Raw genomic sequence first — 22152 nt, 5'->3', positions numbered from 1 at the left:
AGAATTGCTTGAACCCGGGAGGTGGAGGTTACAGTGAGCTGAGATTACGCCACTGCACTCCAGCCTGGGCGACAGAGCAAGACTCTGTCTCAAAAAAAAAAAAAAAAAAAAGAGTAACAGCTAATAAACATAGAAGTACTAACAGACAAATCACCATTTAGCATCCACCGTGATTTAGGTACAAATTACCAACAGATGCTAAAACTACTGTGAAACAACAGGATAGTCACAATGTCTGAAATTTATCATTCTACGGATTAGCTATTGAGGTGGCAACCACCACCTCAACCAAATGATCGAACTTCACATCACCAATACTACTAACTACAAATAGTTATGGGCCTCCTGATATCATGTCCTGACAGAGACACACCACTACCTGTGTAGGATTTTTGCTAAAAAGGTTTAATCTGAAACTAGCCACAACAAAACAAACAAATCTCACCCTAGAACACTAGTCTTGATTATTTTTAAAATGCCAGTGTCACAAAATATAGAAAGAAAAGAACAAACAAAAAAAGAGACAAAGGTGGAATACCTTTTTGAAATAAAAGAGAGCTAGCAATGCAGTACATGATCCTTGACTGGATCCCAGACTGAAAACAACAATCAGGTCAGGTGTGGTGGTTCACACCTGTAATCCCAGCATTTTGGGAGATTGAGGCAGGAGGATCACTTGAGGCCAGGAGTTCAAGACCAGCCTGCGCAACACAGCGAGACCCTATCTCTATTCTTTAAAATAAAAAATTAAATAATAATAAAAAAAGAAAACATCAGCTACAAAGGACATTATCATATCTGGGGAAATTTGAAAATGGACTTATGTCAGATTTCTCTTATTATCTCAATGTTAAATTTCCTGAATGTGAAAATGGTATTCCGATTATGTAGGAATATTTTCTTTTTCTTAAGAAATATATCCTGAAGTATTTATTTAGGAGTGAAGTACCATAATGTCTACAAATTACTTTCAAGGTATTATGATTCAGGGGAAAAAATGGACATATATAAAGGAATACAGACTGGGTGTGGTGGCTCATGCTGGTAATCCCAGCACTGTGGTCCCAGCTACTCAGGAAGCTGAGGTGGAAGAATTGCTTGAGCCTGGGAGTTAGAGGTTGCAGTGAGCCATGATCACACCGCTGCACTCTAGCCTGGGCAACAGAGCTATACCCTGTCTCAAAAAATAAAAAGGAATTCAAAGTGTTCTGTGGCTGGATAGTGATGATGGCTGCATAACATGAATGTACTTAATAGCACTGAATTGTACACCTTAAAATGGTTACGATGATAAATTGTATGTTATGTGTATTTTATCACAATTTTAGAAATTAAATAAAATTTTTTGAAATACCACACTAATATGCTGGGTTCATTTTTAAAAAAAAAACTTTATCTTTTTTTCTGTTTGAAGGAATACTCATTCATTCATTCATTCATTCATTTACTTTGAGATGGAGTCTCGCTCTGTCACCCAGGCTAGAGTGCAGTGGTGTGATCTTGGCTCACTGCAACCTCTGCCTCCCTGGTTCAAGCAGTTCTCCTGCCTCAGCCTCCTGAGTAGCTGGGACTACAGGCACCTGCCACCATGCCTGGCTAATTTTTGTATTTTTAGTAGAGATGGGGTTTCACCATGTTGGCCAGGCTGTTCTCAAACTCCTGACCTCAAGTGATCACCCACCTTAGCCTCCCAAAGTGCTGAGATTACAGGCGTGAGCCACTGTGCCCAGCCTGAAGGAATATATATTTCTTATAGAAAAATAGGATACAGAAAAATATTCCCTTTAAAAAAAATAACCTATGTTCTCACCAAACTAGGTTGATATCTTTACTTCCAGTCCCTTTTCAATTAATATATATTCATTTATAAAATGGGATCATAGGCTTGACTTGTTGTAGACAAACTTTTCTCACTTAACATGCCATGAAAATCTTTAAAACAATAAAAACATCTTAGTATCTTTTTTATTGTCTGAAATTCTATACAACATACAAGATAAACTAATAGTTACTCACTTATAATTTATTATTCTGTGATAGACTCTCTTAGAGCTTTGTGTCCAATTCAGATTAATTTTGGAAAATAGATCTCTAACAGGAGAATTACTGGGTCAAAGGAATATTTTTAAGGTAATGAACTAAAGTGGATATTGTGCATGGTCGACTCCCCAACATTCTTTCAACCCCGACTCCACTAGGCACAGTAATACGGTGTATAAAACTGGCCCAGATCCAAGGATGGCTCCTGATTAGTCTAAACCAAAGGCTGGTGAACTTTTTCTCTAAAAGGTCAGATAAATATTTTTGCTTTGCGGGCCATATGGTCTGTCACAACTACTCAACTCTGCCACTACAGTGTGAAAGCAGCCATAAACAGCAAGTAAATAAATGGGTCTGATTTCCAATAAAATTTTATGTATAACAATAGGTAGTAGGTCAGATTTGGCCTTGGGACTAAGCCAATCATGGCAAACCCATCCCTTTGTATTAGGGAGTGGTCAGGAACCCAAGTTTAAGCCAATCAGGGCAAACATGTATTTGGCCACAGGAGTAGCCATGTGTGTGGCCTGTAATAGGCCCAAACAAATTGAAGGAAATAATTATTGCTTTTTTAATTGTTATTTTTTGAGACAGTGGCTCTGTTTGCAGGCTGGAGTGTAGTGGCACGATCTCAGCTCACTGTAATCTCTACCTCCCAAGCTCAAGCCATCCTCTTACCTCAGCCTCCCAAGTAGCTGGGACTACAGGCACATGCCACCACACCCAGCTAATTTTTGTATTTTTTGTAGAGATGGGGTTTCTTTCACCATGTTGCCCAGGCTGGTCTCAAACTCCTGAGCGCAAGTGATCCTCCTGCTTCAGCCTCCCAAAGTGCTAGGATTACAAGTGTGAGCCACCGTGCCCGGCCAAGAATTCTTATTAGATTGTTTAGGAGGAGGTATTATTTCTGCCAGCAGTTATGACTGAGGAAGCAAATAACCCAATTACTGTCGGCAGTTCCCTATACTACCAGGGAAACTAGGCCCTGGAACAAGCTAGCACTGTGCACTGTAGAGCAAAGAGATGGAAAAAACCTAGGCACTTAATTACACTATGGAGCCACTGAGTCAAATCCTGAAATCCAAAGTGAGCCAATATGTCCTTTCTATTTAAGTCAGCTTAAAATTGAGTTGTATGTTACCTACAGAAAAGCTGCATGAATTTATATTTTTACGGCAGAGAACAAGAAAATGTGCTTCAGCTTACCACAATGATAGGCAAAAAGTATCTTAATACTTTATCATTAGTTTCAATTTTATGAAATAATGTAAAAAAAAGTGAATAAAAGTTAAATACTCCATCTTTCCTTTCATCCCTTAGGATCGTACCTTTTTTTCAAGAAGAATTAGCTTAAATAGGATTAAGACCTGCAAAAGGAAAAAAAAATGTTGTATTGAAATGAGAGACTCACGCCTATAATTCATCTTTTCCCCTCCTAAAACATAACCATAATCAGTAATACTAAATACAGCACTTTAAAAAGTACATGAAAAATTATGAACTTATACTGAGAAGTTAAATATTACCTGTGTACTCTTAAATGTGAGAATCACTTAAATCTCTAACTGAAATTATTTTTTCTTGAAGGGGTGGTACCATTTTTGCTTGAAGTATCTGTAAGCTCTTTAAAGGGGACCCTGCTCTTTAAATAAATACTTTATTTCTGGATGTCCAGAGTGTTCACATAGCATGTGCTCAGTAAATGTTTGTTAAATAAATAATCAATGTGTTTATATCCTAGTCAACATCTGCTTTAATAATAAAGATCAGAAGGTATAAGTATATATAGATGTTTTATTGAAAAATGCTCCATTCTCAGGGCAACATATAAAATATTCTGCAAGATCAAAACATGTTTCTTTCCACTCTAATCTCATGATCGATGAAATTGCAAAAACAATAGAAAAAATTACCCTATCCTGCAAAGAAGTAAACAGTATTTGTGCTCTTTTAAATTTCTACAATACAAGCACTACCAACACTTTTAATTTTGTATAGTTATAAGGCCAAGTACATCTTAGAAGAACTAAAGCATGGTATGCCACAATCTGCATTCAATTTAGCACACTGAATTTGGCAGTTAAATGAGCACACTAAGAACAGTGTTGGCCATTTTAGTACTGTACATCATAAATTTATTTAAATAAGGTACCATACCTTGTGTCGAAAATGAAGGACAAGATCTCGAGGTGACAGACCTACAATGTTAACAAAAAAGCTCAAGTGTGACTACAATGTAATGTTTTTGCTGCAGAAAGGTTATTTCCCCCTTAACAGAAAGAAAGGTTAAAAAAAAAAAAAAGTAGGAATATGCAAATATCCAAATATTTCTGTAATGTTTGATTAGGTACACATATACTCAGAAACAGTGCTGTTCAGTACAACTTTCTGCAAGGATGAAAATATTTTAAACCTGTCTTGTCCAATACAGTAGCCAATACAGAGCAACTGAAATGTGGCATGTGTGACTGAGACAAACTGACTTAAGTTTTATTAAAATTTTATTAATTTTAATCTAAATGTAGACAGCTATAGGTGGCTAGTAGCTACTGTTTTGGACAGTGCAGGTTTAACACATTTCCCCATTCTATAAACATAAACTACACAAGTTTAGAAATGATATAGCTTATATTATAGTGGCAATCAATGATTAAACAAGGTTTTTGGTCATGGCACTTCATATGTTATTATTTCTGAAACACAGTCTATCACCTGCCTGAAACAACACAGTACAAGAGAAAATAATTTAGACAAAAATATGTTCTCAGAATAGGACCTCATATTATGCAGAATAATAGTTTACATTACACAGAGGATTGCAATCATAAACTACCACAATTGGCAACTGCATGCTGAAATTGGAATTGAGTGAGCATAAACCACTATGTGATTAAAAAGTTTTAATCACAAAATGGATATTTATTGAGTTGCCCATTGAATATTTTGGCTACCAGTGGATATTCTGGGTTGTCAAGATAGTATAAATTAAACAAAAATCCCTAACCTGAAGAATCTTATAAAAGAGCTGAGCAGCTTTCTATCTTGCTTCATCTGTTATGATAGGGAATTAAGCTGGTCAGCATTAACGCAAAGAAAAGAAAAAACAATAAAAAACTTCCATTACTATCCTAGAAGGTAGAAATTCCAGCCTGGGCACCATAGGGACACCTTGTCTCTACAAAAAAAACCCAAAACAAACAAACAAAAAATACCAACTAGCTGGGAGTGATGGCATGCACCTGTGGTCCCAGCTACTCAGGAGGCTGTGGCAGGAGAATTGCTTGAGCCCAGGAGGTCAAGGCTGCAGTGAGCCATGATCACACCACTGCACTCCAGCCTGGGTGAGAAAATGCTATCCATTTTCAATGATAATTGAGGTAGTTTGTCTCAAAAAAAAAAAAGGCAGAAATTCACCTTGTACGTTAATAGTTGTAAACCTGGTATGTTCTAATACTCTTCTCAGTATAAACACTGGCTAAGAAGATATTTAAGGAAGAAACAGCATCAAATGTTGAAGAATTTAGATCCCATATAGAGATGTAATTCTAATCAAAGTTTTACACGCAACTCAGTTTGCTAAACAAATAGAAATGAGGGGATCTCTTTTAACTTGTAAGTCAGTTACTTACCAAGATATACTTGGGATCCTTCTAATGAAGCACCTCCCAAGGAACTATTCATATGTTCATAAAGCTCCTATAAAATATAGATTGAATTTAGCACATTTTACTATCATTTTAGATCTGAATTAGAAATATATTGATCAGAAAAAAGCTGATTCCTTAATTGAGGTAGTTTGTTCTGCTAGGCGCTAAATTTAAAAACAATCAAGCCTCTCTGCAACCTTGCCAGTTCTCATTTCTTCTCTTCTGGATATGAGCAGTATCAGAAGAGACGTGGGCAGTTGAGTATGAAAAGCTACTCAGGGTATTCCTTTCTCCCTCTACATTTTAGAGCGTGGTTCATTCACATAGTGGTATGAATTCCTAGTATAAATCCCCTCTGCTCCCTTGCTAAGTCCCTAGATGTCCTACTCCCACCAGAATCCAAGAGAGATCCATATTCTTTACATGAATGGCAGCACTGAGGAAAACATGCTGTCCATTTTCAATAAAATAATCATGTGGTTTTTCTGATCTATGTATTGGGAACTAGGAACCAGAAACCTAATATATAAAAATACTGTGCAGTTTATTAATAAGATAAGCAAATTTACAGAAGCAATGCCATAGCAAAAGGGCTATTATCCACTAAGAGAAACATTACTGTTAGTTATAGTTATTTGTAGTCATTATTTCCTAAAAAAAAAAAAAAAAAAAGTTTGGTTAAATTTAGTATTTGGGCAGATTCCTAGTCTTTCAATGTTTTAATGCAAATGCGTTTTCACATTAGAATGTCTTTCTTAAGGTAATAATTATCCTTCACAGTATTACTGACAATATTTACTTGATTCATGAGTCTATCTTCAGCCAAACACATCTATAGAGGGGTATAAAGTTACCTTTAGAATAGAAATTTGGGAAAAATCCTTCTCTTCAAAATATGCATGTGTAATGAGTTGAAGTTTTGCTTGAAGTAAACCATACAGAGGCTTAAAGGAAAAAAGAGAAATTACCATTGATTAATAATTAGTTGATAACAGTAAAATTGGTTGATAATAGTAAAACAAACAGAACCCCACAACTTTTTAATTTGGAGAAAAAAGTTAGTAACTATCAACTTTAGTGCGTATTATTCATAGTTGAAAGCCGTGAAGTCATCTGTTCTTTGGCTACAAGTGAAAAGTACCTGAAACACTGAGTACAGTGCTTAAGAGTGTGGGCTCAGACTTGCTGGGCCTGGCTCCATCACTCAGCTCTGGGAATTTAACCTCTCCACCTCTGCTTGCTGATCTGAACATGGGCATATGAAAATAGTACCTCTTACTTGACTGTTTTAAGGATTAAATAACAGGTAAAAGCACTTGGTAAAAAGTATCTGACACATAGAAAGTATCCAAACATTAGCGATTACTATTATATGATTTAAAACATATTCTAATTCTGCACACTTTTTTGCTGGCCTGTAGCGACATTTAATCATCCTTATAACAGCTTGTTTTTATATCTATTTGAACATTCATGATTACATTTTTTGTCCTCTGTGGAGGCTCACAACAACTAGTTTGTGTCCTTTATCATAATATTGTTTTATATATTTGAGCAAAGTTATCCCTTAATGCTTATTTCTCTATTTAGAATCTTCTACCATTTTCATCTTTTTATTTGTAATGTTCTTTTCTAGATGTTTTCTCATTTCTATGTCCATTTCAGGATGTAATGACCAATGATGTATATATACTCTAATTAATTAAAAACAAGTAATACTGGAAGAGTCTCTTTCCCAGTATCCCTGTTAATATATCATGATTCCCATCAAAGTATAAAATCATTTATATTTATACATAGACTTCAATACATAGACCAGAAAAACCACAACCAGACCTTTCTGAGTAAGCTACCCTCTTCCCATCCCTTGTGTCTGCTTTAGAGACAGATAAAACTCGATTTTTTTACCCCAATTTTATCACTTAGTAGTTACATGTCTGTGAGAATTACACATTTTTTCTGAGATATGCCTTTATTTACAAAATGAGAACAGTAAATATGTCTCAATATTGTTATAAGGATGGAAATGACAATTACATATAAAAAGTGTCTGGTACAGAATTAATGCCTGATATATAGGCACTCAATAAATGGCATCTATTATTATTGTAATCGTCCTTTGAAGAATGATTACTCAGGAAGCCTCTTAACATGTTGCACTTCCTTTAATATCTGGTACTCTTACTCTTCTGTCATCTGGTCCAGTATAAAAAAGCTATTCACTCATGTATATTTTTCAGGCTACTCTTCTCAAAGGTGTGTACAGGAATCAGATGAATAATTGATCAATTTTCTGACATTGGGGTCTTTTATAATAGCCATTCCTTTTCTTTTTTTTCTTTCTTTCTTTTTTTTTTTTGAGACGGAGTCTCCCTCTGTCGCCCAGGCTGGAGTGCAGTGGCTGATCTCTGCTCACTGCAACCTCCACCTCCTGGGTTCAAGTGATTCTCCTGCCTCAGCCTCCTGAATAGCTGGGATTAGAGGGGTGCACCACCGTGCCTGGCTAATTTTTTTTTTTTTAATTTTTAGTAGAGACAGGGTTTCAGCATGTTGGTCAGGCTGGTCTCAAACTCCTGACCTCATGATCCGCCCACCTCGGCCTTCCAAAGTGCTGGTATTACAGGCGTGAGCCACCATGCCCGGCCACAGCCATTCCTTTTCTAGGAGACTATTCTTGCCTTATGTATAAAATTACTTCTTGGAAGAAATATTCTCATCCTCAAAATTTTATTTTGGATGAAATAAGATTTTGGCTGGGCACGATGGCTCACTCCTGCAATCCCAGCACTTTGGAAGGCTGAGGCGGGTGGGTTGCTTGAGCTCAGGAGTTTGAGACCAGCGTAGGCAACATGGTAAAACCTCGTCTCTACCAAAAATACAAAAATATTAGCCAGGCATGGTAGTGCATGCCTGTGGTCCCAGCCACTCAGGAGGCTGAGGTGGGAGGATTGCTTGAGCCTAGGAGGCAGAGGTTGCAGTAAGCCAAGGTCACGCCACCACACTCCAGCCTGGGCAACAGAGTGAGACTCTGTCTCAAAAAAAAAAAATTATATATATATATATATAAAATTTTTTTTTTTTGGACAAAACCAAAATGGATAAATGAAATATATCAGCTACCTCATTTTGTTTATGTGTCAACTTACTTTCCAATAGCTATAAGATCTCCTTTCTCTTACCAAGTCTTGGGTAGAGGTGCAAATGAAAACTGCTGAAAGGGAAAGAGAATGAGGAGATGCTAGGGCATAAATAATTTTAATATGTCATTTAAATCTCTTCTTATTCTAATAGTGCCTTATCCTTAAAGAAAGATCTGCCATGAAGGTTTAACATAATGAACAAGTTACTTCGTCTCTTACCAGCTTGCTTAGAACACAGACACTTTTCTGAACAGTCTCTCTGGTGATATCTGCTTGCCTTACTTTCAGTGCCTATTATGAACAAAGAGCAATTTATCAGAAATATTTCATAGCAATATTTCAAAAATATTTTTTCAACATAAAAATAGAAATTATATATAAGAAATTTCTTACATTCAGTTAAATTCAAAAAGTTTTTTATTAAGACTCTCAGGAAATACTGAACAAATAAATGTCAGTTTGGGCCTATGTGCCAGAATCTGTGGGAGGCACTGGGAATATAATAGTGAATGGACAATCCCGAATCTCAAGGAATTTATAATCTCATGGAAAATACTTTATGTATAAGTCACCAGGCCCAAATCAGCCATTCAATGCAAATCAATCACTGTTGATTCTGGTTATAAATGGACAGTCCTTTCAGAGACCATTGTTTCTGGTGAGAAGGGGCTAGTTTAAGAGACGACAAAAGGCCAAGAGCAATGGCTCAAGCCTGTAATCTCAGCATTTTGGGAGGCTGAGGTGGGTGGGTCACCTGAGGCCAGGAGTTTGAGACCAGCCTGGTCAACATGGTGAAACCCCATCTCTACTAAAAATACAGAAATCAGCCAGGTGTGGTGGCACAAGCCTGTAATCCCAGCTACTTGGAAAGCCGAGGCAAGAGAATTGCTTGAACCCGGGAGGCAGAGGTTGCAGTGAGCTGAGATCACGCCACTGCACTCCAGCCTGGGCGAAAGAGTGAGACTCCGTCTCAAAAAAAAAAAAAAGAAAAAAGAGATGACAAAAACAGACAGCTTGTTCTCCAGAGATGGAAGAACTGCCAGCAATTTTGTTAAGTTAGTTGTTCCATGTTGCCTGGACACTTGTATTGGCGCCCAGCACCAAACACAAGCACATAACTTATTTCTCAGTGATTGTGAGGATGACTATGTGAGATTTCTACAGTCCTCTTCTAGTAGAGAGCAAATCTTCATTTGATTAACCTCAGGCAAGGCTGTGAGGGAAGTAAGAAAGACTTCCTCCTCTAGTGTACTGCCTGACACCTTCTTGGATCTGTCCTGAGGACCAAGGGGCCCCCATGTTTTCAACTGATGACTGATGAACAGACTTTAAATTAGCTGTGGAGTAGAATCCTTCCTCCTGATTGGATTCATCCACTGTCTTATCTTCATTCGAAAGGAGTTGAAGTCTTTCTTCCAGGCTCAAGGTCCCTCCAATAATTGGTTTATCTGTCTGCTTCTATTGCCTATTATCTATTGAGAAGGACAGCAATCACTGGGAAAATGGGCAACTCTAATGTACTCCTGAGTGGGTCAGAACCAGGGAGTGGGGAGACAGGCAGTATTTAAAGGCTATGCAGAGCACGAGGGCTGTTAAAACAGCACTGAGGGATAAGACCCACTTGGTAGAAATAATTTTACTAGTGCTTACATGACATACGGGTAATAAAAGGTATTAAAAGGAACAGATTTCCAAGAACGGACAGCAGCTCAATTCATCTCACATATAAGTATGTAAAGATAATAGTGTAACAGTGAAGTAGCAAAAGAACATAACTAACTCCATTTTTTAGGCAGCGTTTCCCTATTTGTGCACATAGGCAAGGATAATTTTAGAGCACTAAGATAATATGCAAAAATGGCAATCATGCAGGTTTTAAAACCAACTCTGGGATTTAAAAAGTATGTAAACAACTAACTATGTTTTGTTAAAGATTTATAGGAGCATTGTGGCCTGACCAATGACAAAGAAGTATCCAAATTCCTTGGACCCTCGCTGGTACCCAGATGTCTGTGTGTCACCTCTTGATACCAACTTCCTCTTCTTCCCCATATCCCTCTCCCATAAAAATCCTCCAGCCAGACTGAAAAATTTAAGATGCTACTTTAGAATGCTAGCTCACCATCTAGCTGGCTTTCCAAATAAATCTGCTTTTCCTCCCAGCAACTCTCTTCTCTCCTGTCTTTTGAGCAGCATGCAGCCAAACCTGGGTTCGATTACAATAGTATATGAAAACATCAACTGCTCAAAGCTGTCAGGCAAACTCTTACTCTCAGGTTTCTTTTATCTTTTTATTTTTTATTTTTTTTATTTTTTTGAGGGAGTCTCGCTCTGCTGCCAGGCTGGAGTGCAGTGGCGCCATCTCGGCTCACTGCAGCCTCTGCCCTCCTGGGTTCAAGCAGTTCTCCTGCCTCAGCCTCCCGAGTAGCTGGGACTACAGGCGTGCGCTGCCACACCTGGCTAATTTTTTTATATTTTTAGTAGAGATGGGGTTTCACTATGTTAGCCAGGATGGTCTTGATCTCCTAACTTCGTGATCCGCCCGCCTTGGCCTCCCAAAGTGCTAGGATTACAGGTGTGAGCCACCGGGGTCCAGCCTCTTTTCTCTTTATTTTCTCAGCTTCATTGAGGTATAATTGACAAAAATTGTATACATTTAAGGTGTATGTTATTATTTGACATAATATCTTTAGCTTTAGATTCAGTTATTCATGACATAACATGGGTGTTCCAGGTTCCAGGCCCTGTGCTTAGAGGGTTACTTCATGGTAGTTACCTACTTTGGGTATCCTGGAATTTACACCCATGGTTTACATTTAAGTGGGTCAGGGGAAAAAGAGACACACAGTCTATGAGTCTAGGTGATGGGTACACAGGTACTCAAGGTACTATGTTTTAAATTTACCTGCATATTTGAAATTTCCTTCATAACAAGTTAGAAAAAGATTTACTAATTATTCACCCGAGGAAGCTTTTAAAACTTTTAATTGTCCAGGCTCAAATCCCAGCGATTCTAATTCAGTCACTAGGAGGAAAAGCTAGGTACAGATATTTAAAAAAAAAAAAAAGTCTCCAGGTAATTCTAGTTAAAAATCATTGTTTCAGAGCAGTGGTTGTCAATCTTGACTAGGCAGAAAAATCACCTGGCGAGCTTTTAAAACATTCCCACCTCCCATGTCTAGATCATTAAATCAGAATCTTTTGGGGCGGGGGCAGACCCACTCATCCTAGCTTTTAAAGCTCTCCAGGTGATTGCAATGTGCAGCTGAGACTAAGAACCACTCACTACTTTAGAGTATTAATGACCTTTTGAGAGGAAAGAGCTTTTTACTCATCAAGATTATCCCCACCACAAAAAAAACAGTGCTACACATAAGCAAACCATGAAAGGTGGGGCCACCATCTTGGCTTATTTGAATTTATCAATTAGAGCTATTATAGTAAGTCAGGCATTAAGCTAGCAGGTAGTTTAAGAATAATCAAGGCTGGACACAGTGGCTCATGCCTGCAGAGGCTGAGATGGGCAGATCACTTGAGCTCAGGAGTTCGAGACCAACCTGGGCATCATGGTGAAACCTTGTCTCCATAAAAAAATACAAAAATTAGCTGGGTGTGGTGGCACACACCTGTATCCCAGCTACTTGGGAGTCTGAGATGGGAGGAGGGCTTGAGCTCAGGGTCAAGGCTGCAGTGAGCCAAGATTGTGCCACTGCACTCCAGCCTAGGCAACAGAGTGAGACTCCTCCTCAAAAAAAAAAAAAAAAAAAAAAAAAGAAATCTTAGAGATAAATAGGACAGCTTATGAGTAGTTGGGAGCCCCTCTAAGCACGTTCCACTACTTCTGAAATGCTGCTTAAAAAAAAAAAGCAAGGCACAGTGGTGCACACCTGTAGTCCCAGCTACTCAGCAGGCTGAGGCAGGAGGATCCCTTGAGCCTAGGAGTTCAAAACCAGCCTGGGCAAAATAGCAAGGCCCTGTCTTTAAAAAAATAAAAAAACTAAAAAACACACAAGCATTACCACTCAATTTTTCTAAGTTATATGCCAAACACTAGAAACAGAAAATTCAAAGACATCTTGAAATGTAAATACAGTATTTAAAAGACAAATAGATAATTTATGTATCACTATCTAAAAGCAATGTACAAAATATTGTGATACAAATATAAGCATAGCCACCAATGTCAACTTAATAAAATGTTTCTGTGAATAAACTGGCACTATTGAAAAAACAGCTACAAATTGTATACAAAAATCTAAAACAACATTACAGGCACCACTGAAAAATAAAGACTGTGTTTAAGTGTCCAACATCTAAGAAGGGACTTTGGAATTGTTTTTCACTATTAACTATCGTACCTTGGCTTCAATTTGTCGATAGCAAGAGATACCAAATACTGTGGCTCCATTTCCATTTCTGGGTGGCAAGTGAAAAAACACAGTATCTAAGAGATACATAGAAAAATGTAAATAGTGAGGTGAATTACCCTTATTAATAAGTAGTATAATCTGAAGCTATCATAATGCAGTCATTAACACAAAAATGATGATAAAACAAGGAATCCAAATCATACTTATTTGTAGCACCACAACCAATGGTTTCCTAGAATTTTTCTCATTGCTTTATGGTAAATACTCATCACAAAAAGCCCAAGAGACTGAATTATAACAGGTCAAACTGAGACTACAATTACAGAAAATACTTAATCTTTAGGGAATCGTTCTAGATGAAAAGAAAGTAGACAGTCATAAAAGCCAACAGCAACACACGAACCTTGAATGAATACAAGAAATTTGGGGGACAACTGAGAAAATTTGAACACAGATTGGATGTTAGATAGTATTATGAAATTACTGTTACATCTCTTAGCTGTGATAATGGTACTGGAAGTTACACTGGGGAATGATCTCATTCTCAGATCTTAAGTATTTAAAGTGTCACAATGTTTGCAACTGACTTTCAGATAGATAGTACAGACAAAATTATACACATACACAAATATAAAGAAAATCTGTAGAACATTTGCTATAATCTTAATTCACATGTTTGTAGCAGTCCTTTTGCTGGGCATGGTGGCAGAGCCAGGCATAGTGGCTCACGTCTATAACCACAGCTACTGGGAAGGCTGGGGTAGGAGAACTGCTTGAGCTCAGGAGCTCAGGAGTTTGAGACCAGCCTGGGCAACAGGGCAACATAGTGAGATTCCATCTCCAAAAAAAAAAAAGAAAGAAAGAAAGAAAGAAAATCAATAGCAACAGTAACAACAAAAACATTTTTGTAGAGCATCAAATACCATAGTAAAATACAGTCCTTCATTAAGTCAGGCAAAGTACTCAGTTATAGGGTGGTAAGAGATTCGGTAAGAACTTCACAGCCCTGCTTTCTTTGAGGGTGTTAACATGCTCCGCATGCAAGCAAGCAACCTTGCAAGCAGAGTACTTGTGACAGCAATGGTTCCAGAGGCACAAAAACAATCTCAGCTGTTTCTAAGGTGGGCACTGGAGTGATAACCTAGTACTGCAAGTATGCAGCTAGAGTCCCAAGCAATGTACAGCTGGTGCTGGTAAGCCCCCTGATTTGCCTCTGAGGAGTATGAAGTATAGATGTAGGAAGTGCTTCCAGTGGTGGCTGTCCTGCTCTGGCTAATCACTTGGCAGAAGCGTGGCCAAGGTTCACCAGCCACAGCCAATGTAAGCCTGGCACTCCTTTAGAGGTGCTCTAGTGAATGACTAGTTATCTCCAAACAAGCATGTAAATATTTTATAAATAGTTCTAACAGGCTGAAGGCCTTTAATTTCTAAGTATTTAGAACCTAAGATATCTTGGCAAATTTTTTCAAAAATGGCACCTAACTGCTTCACTGTCTTGTTACATACCTTCCTGGTAGTTGTGTGCGCCATCTGGTAAGGCAAGGAAGGGCAAATACTTCCATTCTTCAGGTAAAGTGTGGCTGTCATGTCCATCTCCTGGAATCAGGGGCGGGTAAGAGAATTCAACCTAAAATAGTAAGGAATGTTAGCCAAAAGGTGGTTGACCAAAGGAAGCATTTTATTCTGATAGGTAAAAATGCTTTTAAACCCTGAATGACAGAAGTCGGGATAAGCCACACTGTATAATGTCATTTGATATCATCAGCAAACCTATGGCATGGAAGAGGGGGAAAAAAAGCAGTAAAAGGAGGAAAAGTTTATAAGCCTTTCTCCACTTTCTGATTTAAGGTCGGTTAAACTTTAATGTGCATAATGGTAGTGGGGTTGGTGATTGAACTGCAGATTGATATCTGGGGGCTGTCATCAAACAGATGGTAATTGAAGCCACAGGGCCCTGAGGAAAACCAACAGCCTACTGAATTGAGTAGGAGAGGTCCAACAAAGGAGCCCCAAGTTGAGCCCAGAATCACTTTTGGAACCAATCCTTTAATGTGGAAAAATAGGATGGCTCATCTTTCCACATTTCAATGAAATCAAGCTGCCACTTGAATCACAGGAAAGCCAACGGTAAAAGGGCTTTAAAAATGATTTAAAATTTTTGTCCACTGAATTTAAAATTCATGATTGTTTCTTCTTTTTTTCTTTTTTCTTTTTGAGACAGTCTCACTCTGTCAGCCAGGCTGGAGTGCAGTGGCATGATCTCAGCTCACTGCAACCTCTGTCTCCCATGCTCAAGCAATTCTCCTGCCTCAGCGTCCTGAGTAGCTGGGATTACAGGCGTGTGCCACCACGCTCGGCTAATTTTTTTTTTTTTTTTTTTTTGTATTTTTACTAGAGACAGGGTTTCACCACGTTGGCCAGGCTAGTCTCGAACTCCTGACCTAAGGTAATCCGCCTGCCCTGGCCTCCCAAAGTGCTGGGATTACAGGCATGAGGCACTGTGCCCGGCCAATTCGTGATTATTTCTAAAGGTGATCCAATTCCATATTTAAAATGTTTAAAGACACCAAAAAAAAAAAAAAAGGACTGTAAAAAAGACTGCCTCCCACCCTTGATATCACCACCCCAGCTACCCAGTCCCTGCTCCCATCTCCAGAAGCAATCAACGTTTTCCGTTTAGAAGAACTCTTTAAAAGTTTAGATTAAGGAGTAAAACTTTTCTTCCAGAGATCATTTAAAATCAACTGAAAAATTGGCTGGGCACGGTGGCTCACACCTGAATTCTCAACACTTTGGGAGCTGAGGCGGGTGGATCACTTGAGGCCAGAAGTTCGAGACCAGCCTGGCCGACATGGTGAAATCCCGTCCCTACTAAAAATATAAAAATTAGTCAGGTGTGGTGGCACATGCCTGTAATCCCAGCTACTCAGGAGGCTGAGGCAGGAGAATTGCTTGAACCCAGGAGGTGGAGGTTACAGTGAGCCGAGATTGCGCCACTGCACTGCAGCCTGGGCAACAAGAGTGAGACTCTGTCTCAAAAAAAAAAAAAAATTAACTGAAGGTGAGGCATAAATAACCTCCAGTTACATTTCTCTGTATCTTCTCTATATATTTATCATACAGGTTTCATCCCAGTTTGCTTTGTTGGACAATTTTCTAAAGTGTGAGGGAAGGCAGGATGTGACAATGAGGTAAGATACACACAAATTCAAAGATGATGTTATGAAGTTGGCAATTTTAGAGTTAAAAAAGTTACCAATTCAGAATTATTTTTTAACACCAAAAATAAATGTAAAAAAATAAATAATTATATTTTATATAATCAATACCAAAGTCCCATATATAGTATTTATCATAAGGAGTCCTGGTAATTATTACTAAACAATCTTTTTGAAAATCATTAAATTTTGATGTACAGATATTTATTTAAAATGAATTTTGTATGAAATAAACATGGTTTTAAATAAACAAACATTATGTACCCCAATTCTCATGATGCATCATGAAATATGTTTCTCTTTAGGGTCCAAAAAGTTTAATACAGAAAATTCTAAAAAAAGTAGTACAGGCCGGGCGCGGTGGCTCACGCCTGTAATCCCAGCACTTTGGGAGGCCGAGGCGGGCGGATCACGAGGTCAGGAGATCGAGACCATCCCGGCTAAAACGGTGAAACCCCGTCTCTACTAAAAATACAAAAAATTAGCCAGACGTAGTGGCGGGCGCCTGTAGTCCCAGCTACTTGGGAGGCTGAGGCAGGAGGAGAATGGCGTGAACCCGGGAGGCGGAGCTTGCAGTGAGCCAAGATCCCGCCACTGCACTCCAGCCTGGGCGACAGAGCGAGACTCCGTCTCAAAAAAAAAAAAAAAAAAAAAAAAAAAAAAAAAAAAAAAAAAAAAGTAGTACAACAATGCTTAATCTCATTTTTAATCATGGAAATGCAATTTGAATTAATATAATTTTTACCCATCTACTGAAAAACATTAAAAAGACTGAATATTTGACAACAGAGTGGAGAAGCCGGCTGTAGGAATGTACGGTACACTGGCACAACAGTTTGGAGGGCAACTTGGCCGTATTATCAAGATAATTAAGATAACAAAATGAGAGGCCCTTAGACTGAGGTGGCTTTAAGGCTCAGGGTTTTATACTTAAGCAAACCAAAAGTAAATTTAAAAGATCACCAAGCTTAGCTCAGCCAATCACAGGCAGCCAACTGGGCATCAGTTACATCTTCTTGAACTTCCCACAGGCATGACCAAAATAAGGCAACTGCTCAAATTTTAATGAAAGAATTTCTTTGCTCTACTTCTATATTCACCCTATAAATGCCTTCCCCATGCTCCTTTAGTAGAGCCCCAACCACTTCTGGTTTGATGCTGCCTGACTCATGAAGCACTGTCTGCTCACATACACTTCTTAAAATCTTAATGTGCCAAAATTTATCTTTTACCACCTTTGACTCAGCAATTTCAGTTTTAGAAATTTATCCCATAGATACTCTCACATATTCAGATACATACAAAAATGTTCATAGCAGTATAATTTATTTCAGCATAAAAGGGAAACCTAAATATTCATCATGAGTGGTTACATCAGTGGTTTATATCAGTTTTGTCCAGCTGTTAAAAAGAATGTCAGATTCATATATACTGATAAAGCAAGACGGCCACAATATCCTATGTGGTAGGCGAAATAATGGCCTTCCAAAGATATCCTAATCCCCGGACTCTATTTGTTACCTTACTTGGCAAAAGGGCAAAAGGGACTTTGCAGATATGATTAAGGATCTTGAGCTAGGGATTATCCAGGCGGGTAAAGTGTAATCACAGAGTCCTTATAAGAGAGGCAGAGGAATCAGTGAAAAAGATATTTGAAGATGCTATTCCATTGGCTTTAAAGATGGAAGAAAGGGCCATGAAACAAGAAATGCAGGAGACCTTTAGGAGGTGGAAACAGCAAGAAAATCGAGTCTCTCCTGGAGCTTCCAGAAGAAATGGAGCCCAGCCAACACCTTGATTTTAGCCCAGTGAAACCCATTTCGGAATTCTGACCTCAGAACTTTAATAAATTTGTGTTGTTTTAAGGCACTACATTTGTGGTAATTTTTCAGCAGCAAGAGAAAACTAATAAATACTGTTAAATTTTAAAAGCAAGTAGAATATCAGTCAACAGTGTCAGAGGCACCCTAACCAGAGTGACTCCATCTTGAATAAAGGCTGGATAAAGCCAAATCTGCTGTGTTATGTTCCCGGAGACTGGGCACTGTTGGTCACAAGGCATTTATGTTTGAGAGAACAAGTTAATGATGTTAACTAACTGAAGACCCAGGACTTATGGAAATGTCCCAGTACTTTAAGAACAAAAAGCATTCTTAGTTTAAGAATAGGTTTTGCTTTAAAAATATTAGTACACTCATAAATTCTTGCTAAAATCAATAGTAACATAGGAAAGTAACAACACTAACAGCCTGTCACAAGCTGGTCACAAGCACACTTTTCTTTTCCTTTTCTTTTTTTTTGAGATGGAGTTTCGCTCGTTGCCCAGGCTGGAGTGCAATGGCACAATCTCGGCTCACCGCAACCTCTGCCTCTCGGGTTCAAGCGTTTCTGCTGCCTCAGCTGCCCAAGTAGCTGGGACTATAGGCATGCACCACCACGCCCGGCTAATTTTGTATTTTTAGGAGAGACGGGGTTTCTCCATGTTGGTCAGGCTAGTCTCAAACTCCCGACTTTAGGTGATCCGCCCGCCTTGACCTCCCAAAGTGCTGGGATTATAGGCGTGAGCACTGCGCCTGGCCAAAGTACACTTTTCTTAATAACCCATATTAGCATTATATTGAAATGGGTGCACCCTCCTCTTGCTCTCTGAGGATGCCCTATTCTGTAATTCAGTAGTCTGTAGTAAATCATTTTAACTTCACTCTACTCTGTGACTTGCCCTGAATTCTTTCCTGCATGAGAGCCAAGAACCTGCTCTTGGGGTCTTGGACAAAATCCCTTGACTGGTGACTGTAGTATGATTCTGTATATACTGTGATTCCGTTTGTGCAAAAAAAATTTTCTGTAAATGGATTTAAAAAACATGCTTGAAAAGACACTTGAAAATCTATATACACTGCTAGCAGAGGTTTTAACTCTGGAGAGGAGAATGAGGTTGGGGATGGAAGATAAGCGAATACTCCTGTTACTTTAAAAAAAATCGCCACCATTTTGTTTTGAAATTTTCAAACTTACAGAAAGTTAAAAGAATATGAACAACCTAACAAACTTCATCTTTATTTACCAACTGCATTGCTTTTTTTAGCCACACTTGTTCTAGCTGTGTTGTATGTGTACACAAAAACAATTTTCTAAATGATTTCACAGCAAGTGGAGCATACTACCTCTACTTTTAATTATTTTTAAATGGATATGTATTGCTTTTAGGATTAAAAATAAATAAATAAATAAGACAATCACAAGCAGTTCTTAACTTCTGAAGGAAATCTTATTTCCATCCTATAATCTTGGAGTTAAGGGCAGGTGTAGAAATCTATCTTCTGTTCTGAAGATTTAGTTAACAGGTTGCCATTGGCCAGAAGTTTAATTAATATCTGAAGCTATGCTATGCTTAACATATTCTCCGAATTCGCAACTCTACTGAAGGAAGATCAGTTTTAGATGGTTCTAGCTGAAACTGAAGACGCAGTTGACTCAAAACTGTCATAAATAGAAGTGTGGATACTACATGTATTCCAAGAATTCCATGGGTAAAATTAAGGCTGTTCTAGCCTGACTTGGGCCCAGAGTATTTACAACATTGTTTCTTTGGGAAAGTGTTCAGAATTTCAAACAGCCAACTTTTAGAACACAACTCTTTCATAAATTGCAGACTGCCTGTACTGTGTTGGCAGCTTTCTATAATTCTCTTCTCCTGCTGGTAGATTTTCTACCAACGAATACTTCCATTTGGAAACTGCTGAAATTGCTAATCAAGTTCAAAACTGTTTATTAAAACTCCTTTCTGGCCGGGTGCAGTGGCTCACACCTGTAATTCCAGCACTTTGGGGGACCGAGGCAGGCAGATCACGAGGTCAGGAGATCAAGACCATCCTGGCCAACATGGTGAAACCCTGTCTCTACTGACAATACAAAAAATATTAGCTGGGTGTGGTGGCAGGCGCCTGTAGTCCCAACTACTCAGGAGGCTGAGGCAGGAGAATCACTTGAACTCAGGTGGTGGTGGTTGCAGTGAGCCGAGATGGCGCCACTGCACTCCAGCCTGGGCAACAGAGAGACTCTGTCTAAAAAAAAAAAAAAAAAAAAAAAAACTCCTTTCTAATGGATATATATTATTTCATTATTTTAATATCAATCCTCTATTGTTGAGTTTTTCTAGTTTTTTAAAACATTATACTACTGCAAACTTTTCAGAATATTCAAATGTGATATAATTAAAAATACATATATTTGGTCCTTGTCCCTCATTCCTGGAACAAAACTCCTAACATCCTTGGAATTTCCTGAGTAATAGGAGCATCTTTTGTTATTCATAATAAGCCCCAATCAATCATACTTGAGTTTATGCTAAGGTGACTCTAGTGGTAGGAGGACCTAGATAGCTTCATGACAGAGGCTGATCACCGGAAAGACCAAGCCTTGATTAAAGGGATGGAACTTTCAGCCATACCCCTTGACCTCCCAGGAACGGTGTTGGAGATTGAATTCTATCACCAATGGCCAATGGTTTAGTCAATCACGCCTATGTAATGAAACCTCCATAAAAACCCCTAAACAATGGGATTCAGTGAGTTCCTGGGTTGTTGAACACATCAAAGTGCTGGGAGGGCAGCATGCTAAAGATGGCATGGAAACTCCCTGACCCACCAACCAACACCTTGCCTTATTCATCTCTTCCATCTGGTTGTTCCTGAATTGTGTCCTTTAATAATAAACCAGTGAATGCAAGCGAAGAGTTTTCCTGAGTTTTATGAGTCATTCTGGCAAATTATCAAACCTCAGAGAAGGTTATGGGAAGCCCTGAATTGGTAGCAAAGTCAGACAGAGGTGGGGTGGCCTGGGGACCCAGGACTTGTGATTGGTGCCTGAAGTGAGGGCAGTTTTGTGGGACTGAGTGAGCCCTTACAGAGTTTGATGTTAACTGAGTAATGTCACAATATGACTGAATTGTAGAATGCCCAGTTGCTATCTGATAATCCCTAATTATCAGAGATTAAGCATGAAAAAAAAAAGAATGTTATTTCCAAATTGATGGTATATTTAAATCTTAAATTGTATGTTTTTCATGTTTTAAATACTGACTGAATATCTGTCCCCTTTCTATATATCCAAATTAATCCACACAGACACAAAATTTCATGGCACAGAGGCTAAAGAGGAATTCTCTTGGAAGTTAACATGAGACTCTTAAATACTCAGTTGAATCAAGACAATTTAAATAGTAATGCCAATTAAACTAACCAGCACCACAGAAGTGATGATAAGTGTAGTAGGCTGCCTCACTGCACAGCTCCAGGGAGAACCACAGACATTGTCATTTACATGAATGGCTCTCCCTGCAATTGTGTCGTGAAGTACATATAGCTGTACATGGCAGCCCTAAGTATATGTAAAAAAACCACAGACGAAAACCAATGTTAAGTACCCAGATATATCAGTCCTCATACTGCTATGAAAAAACACCTGAGACTGGGTAATTTATAAAGGAAAGGTTTAATTAACTCACAGTTCTGTAATGCTAGGGAGGAAACCTCAGGAAACTTATAATCATGGCGGAAGGCAAAGGAGAAGCAGGCACCTGCTTCACAGGGCAGTGGAATGGAGTGAGTGCAAGCAGGGGAAATGCCAGATATTTATAAAACCATCAGATCTCATGAGATTCATTCACTATCAAGAGAAATGCATGGGGGAAACTGCCCCCATGATCCAATTACCTCTACCTGGTCCTGCCATTGAC

General features: G+C 38.6%; 1 protein-coding gene across 13 annotated transcripts in view; it reads right to left on the bottom strand.

Moving 5' to 3' along the window:
• Nucleotides 1-22152, bottom strand: part of AVL9 (AVL9 cell migration associated) — a 93238-nt gene that overhangs the window by 30762 nt on the left and 40324 nt on the right. For all 13 annotated transcript variants that reach the window (XM_005249668.3, XM_005249669.3, XM_011515227.3 and 10 more), the window contains exons 2-8: nucleotides 14704-14824; nucleotides 13186-13271; nucleotides 9047-9118; nucleotides 6542-6631; nucleotides 5670-5736; nucleotides 4198-4238; nucleotides 3369-3407 (exon numbers count right to left, since the gene is read on the bottom strand). In XM_005249668.3, coding sequence (XP_005249725.1) covers nucleotides 3369-3407; nucleotides 4198-4238; nucleotides 5670-5736; nucleotides 6542-6631; nucleotides 9047-9118; nucleotides 13186-13271; nucleotides 14704-14824 — 516 coding nt within the window. The remainder of the gene's footprint in view (nucleotides 1-3368; nucleotides 3408-4197; nucleotides 4239-5669; nucleotides 5737-6541; nucleotides 6632-9046; nucleotides 9119-13185; nucleotides 13272-14703; nucleotides 14825-22152) is intronic.

This window comes from Homo sapiens, chromosome 7 (assembly GCF_000001405.40).
Source record: "Homo sapiens chromosome 7, GRCh38.p14 Primary Assembly".
NCBI lineage: Eukaryota > Metazoa > Chordata > Mammalia > Primates > Hominidae > Homo > Homo sapiens.
The sequence above is the reverse complement of the archived record's forward strand: the minus strand, read 5'-3'. Positions and strand labels throughout refer to the sequence as shown.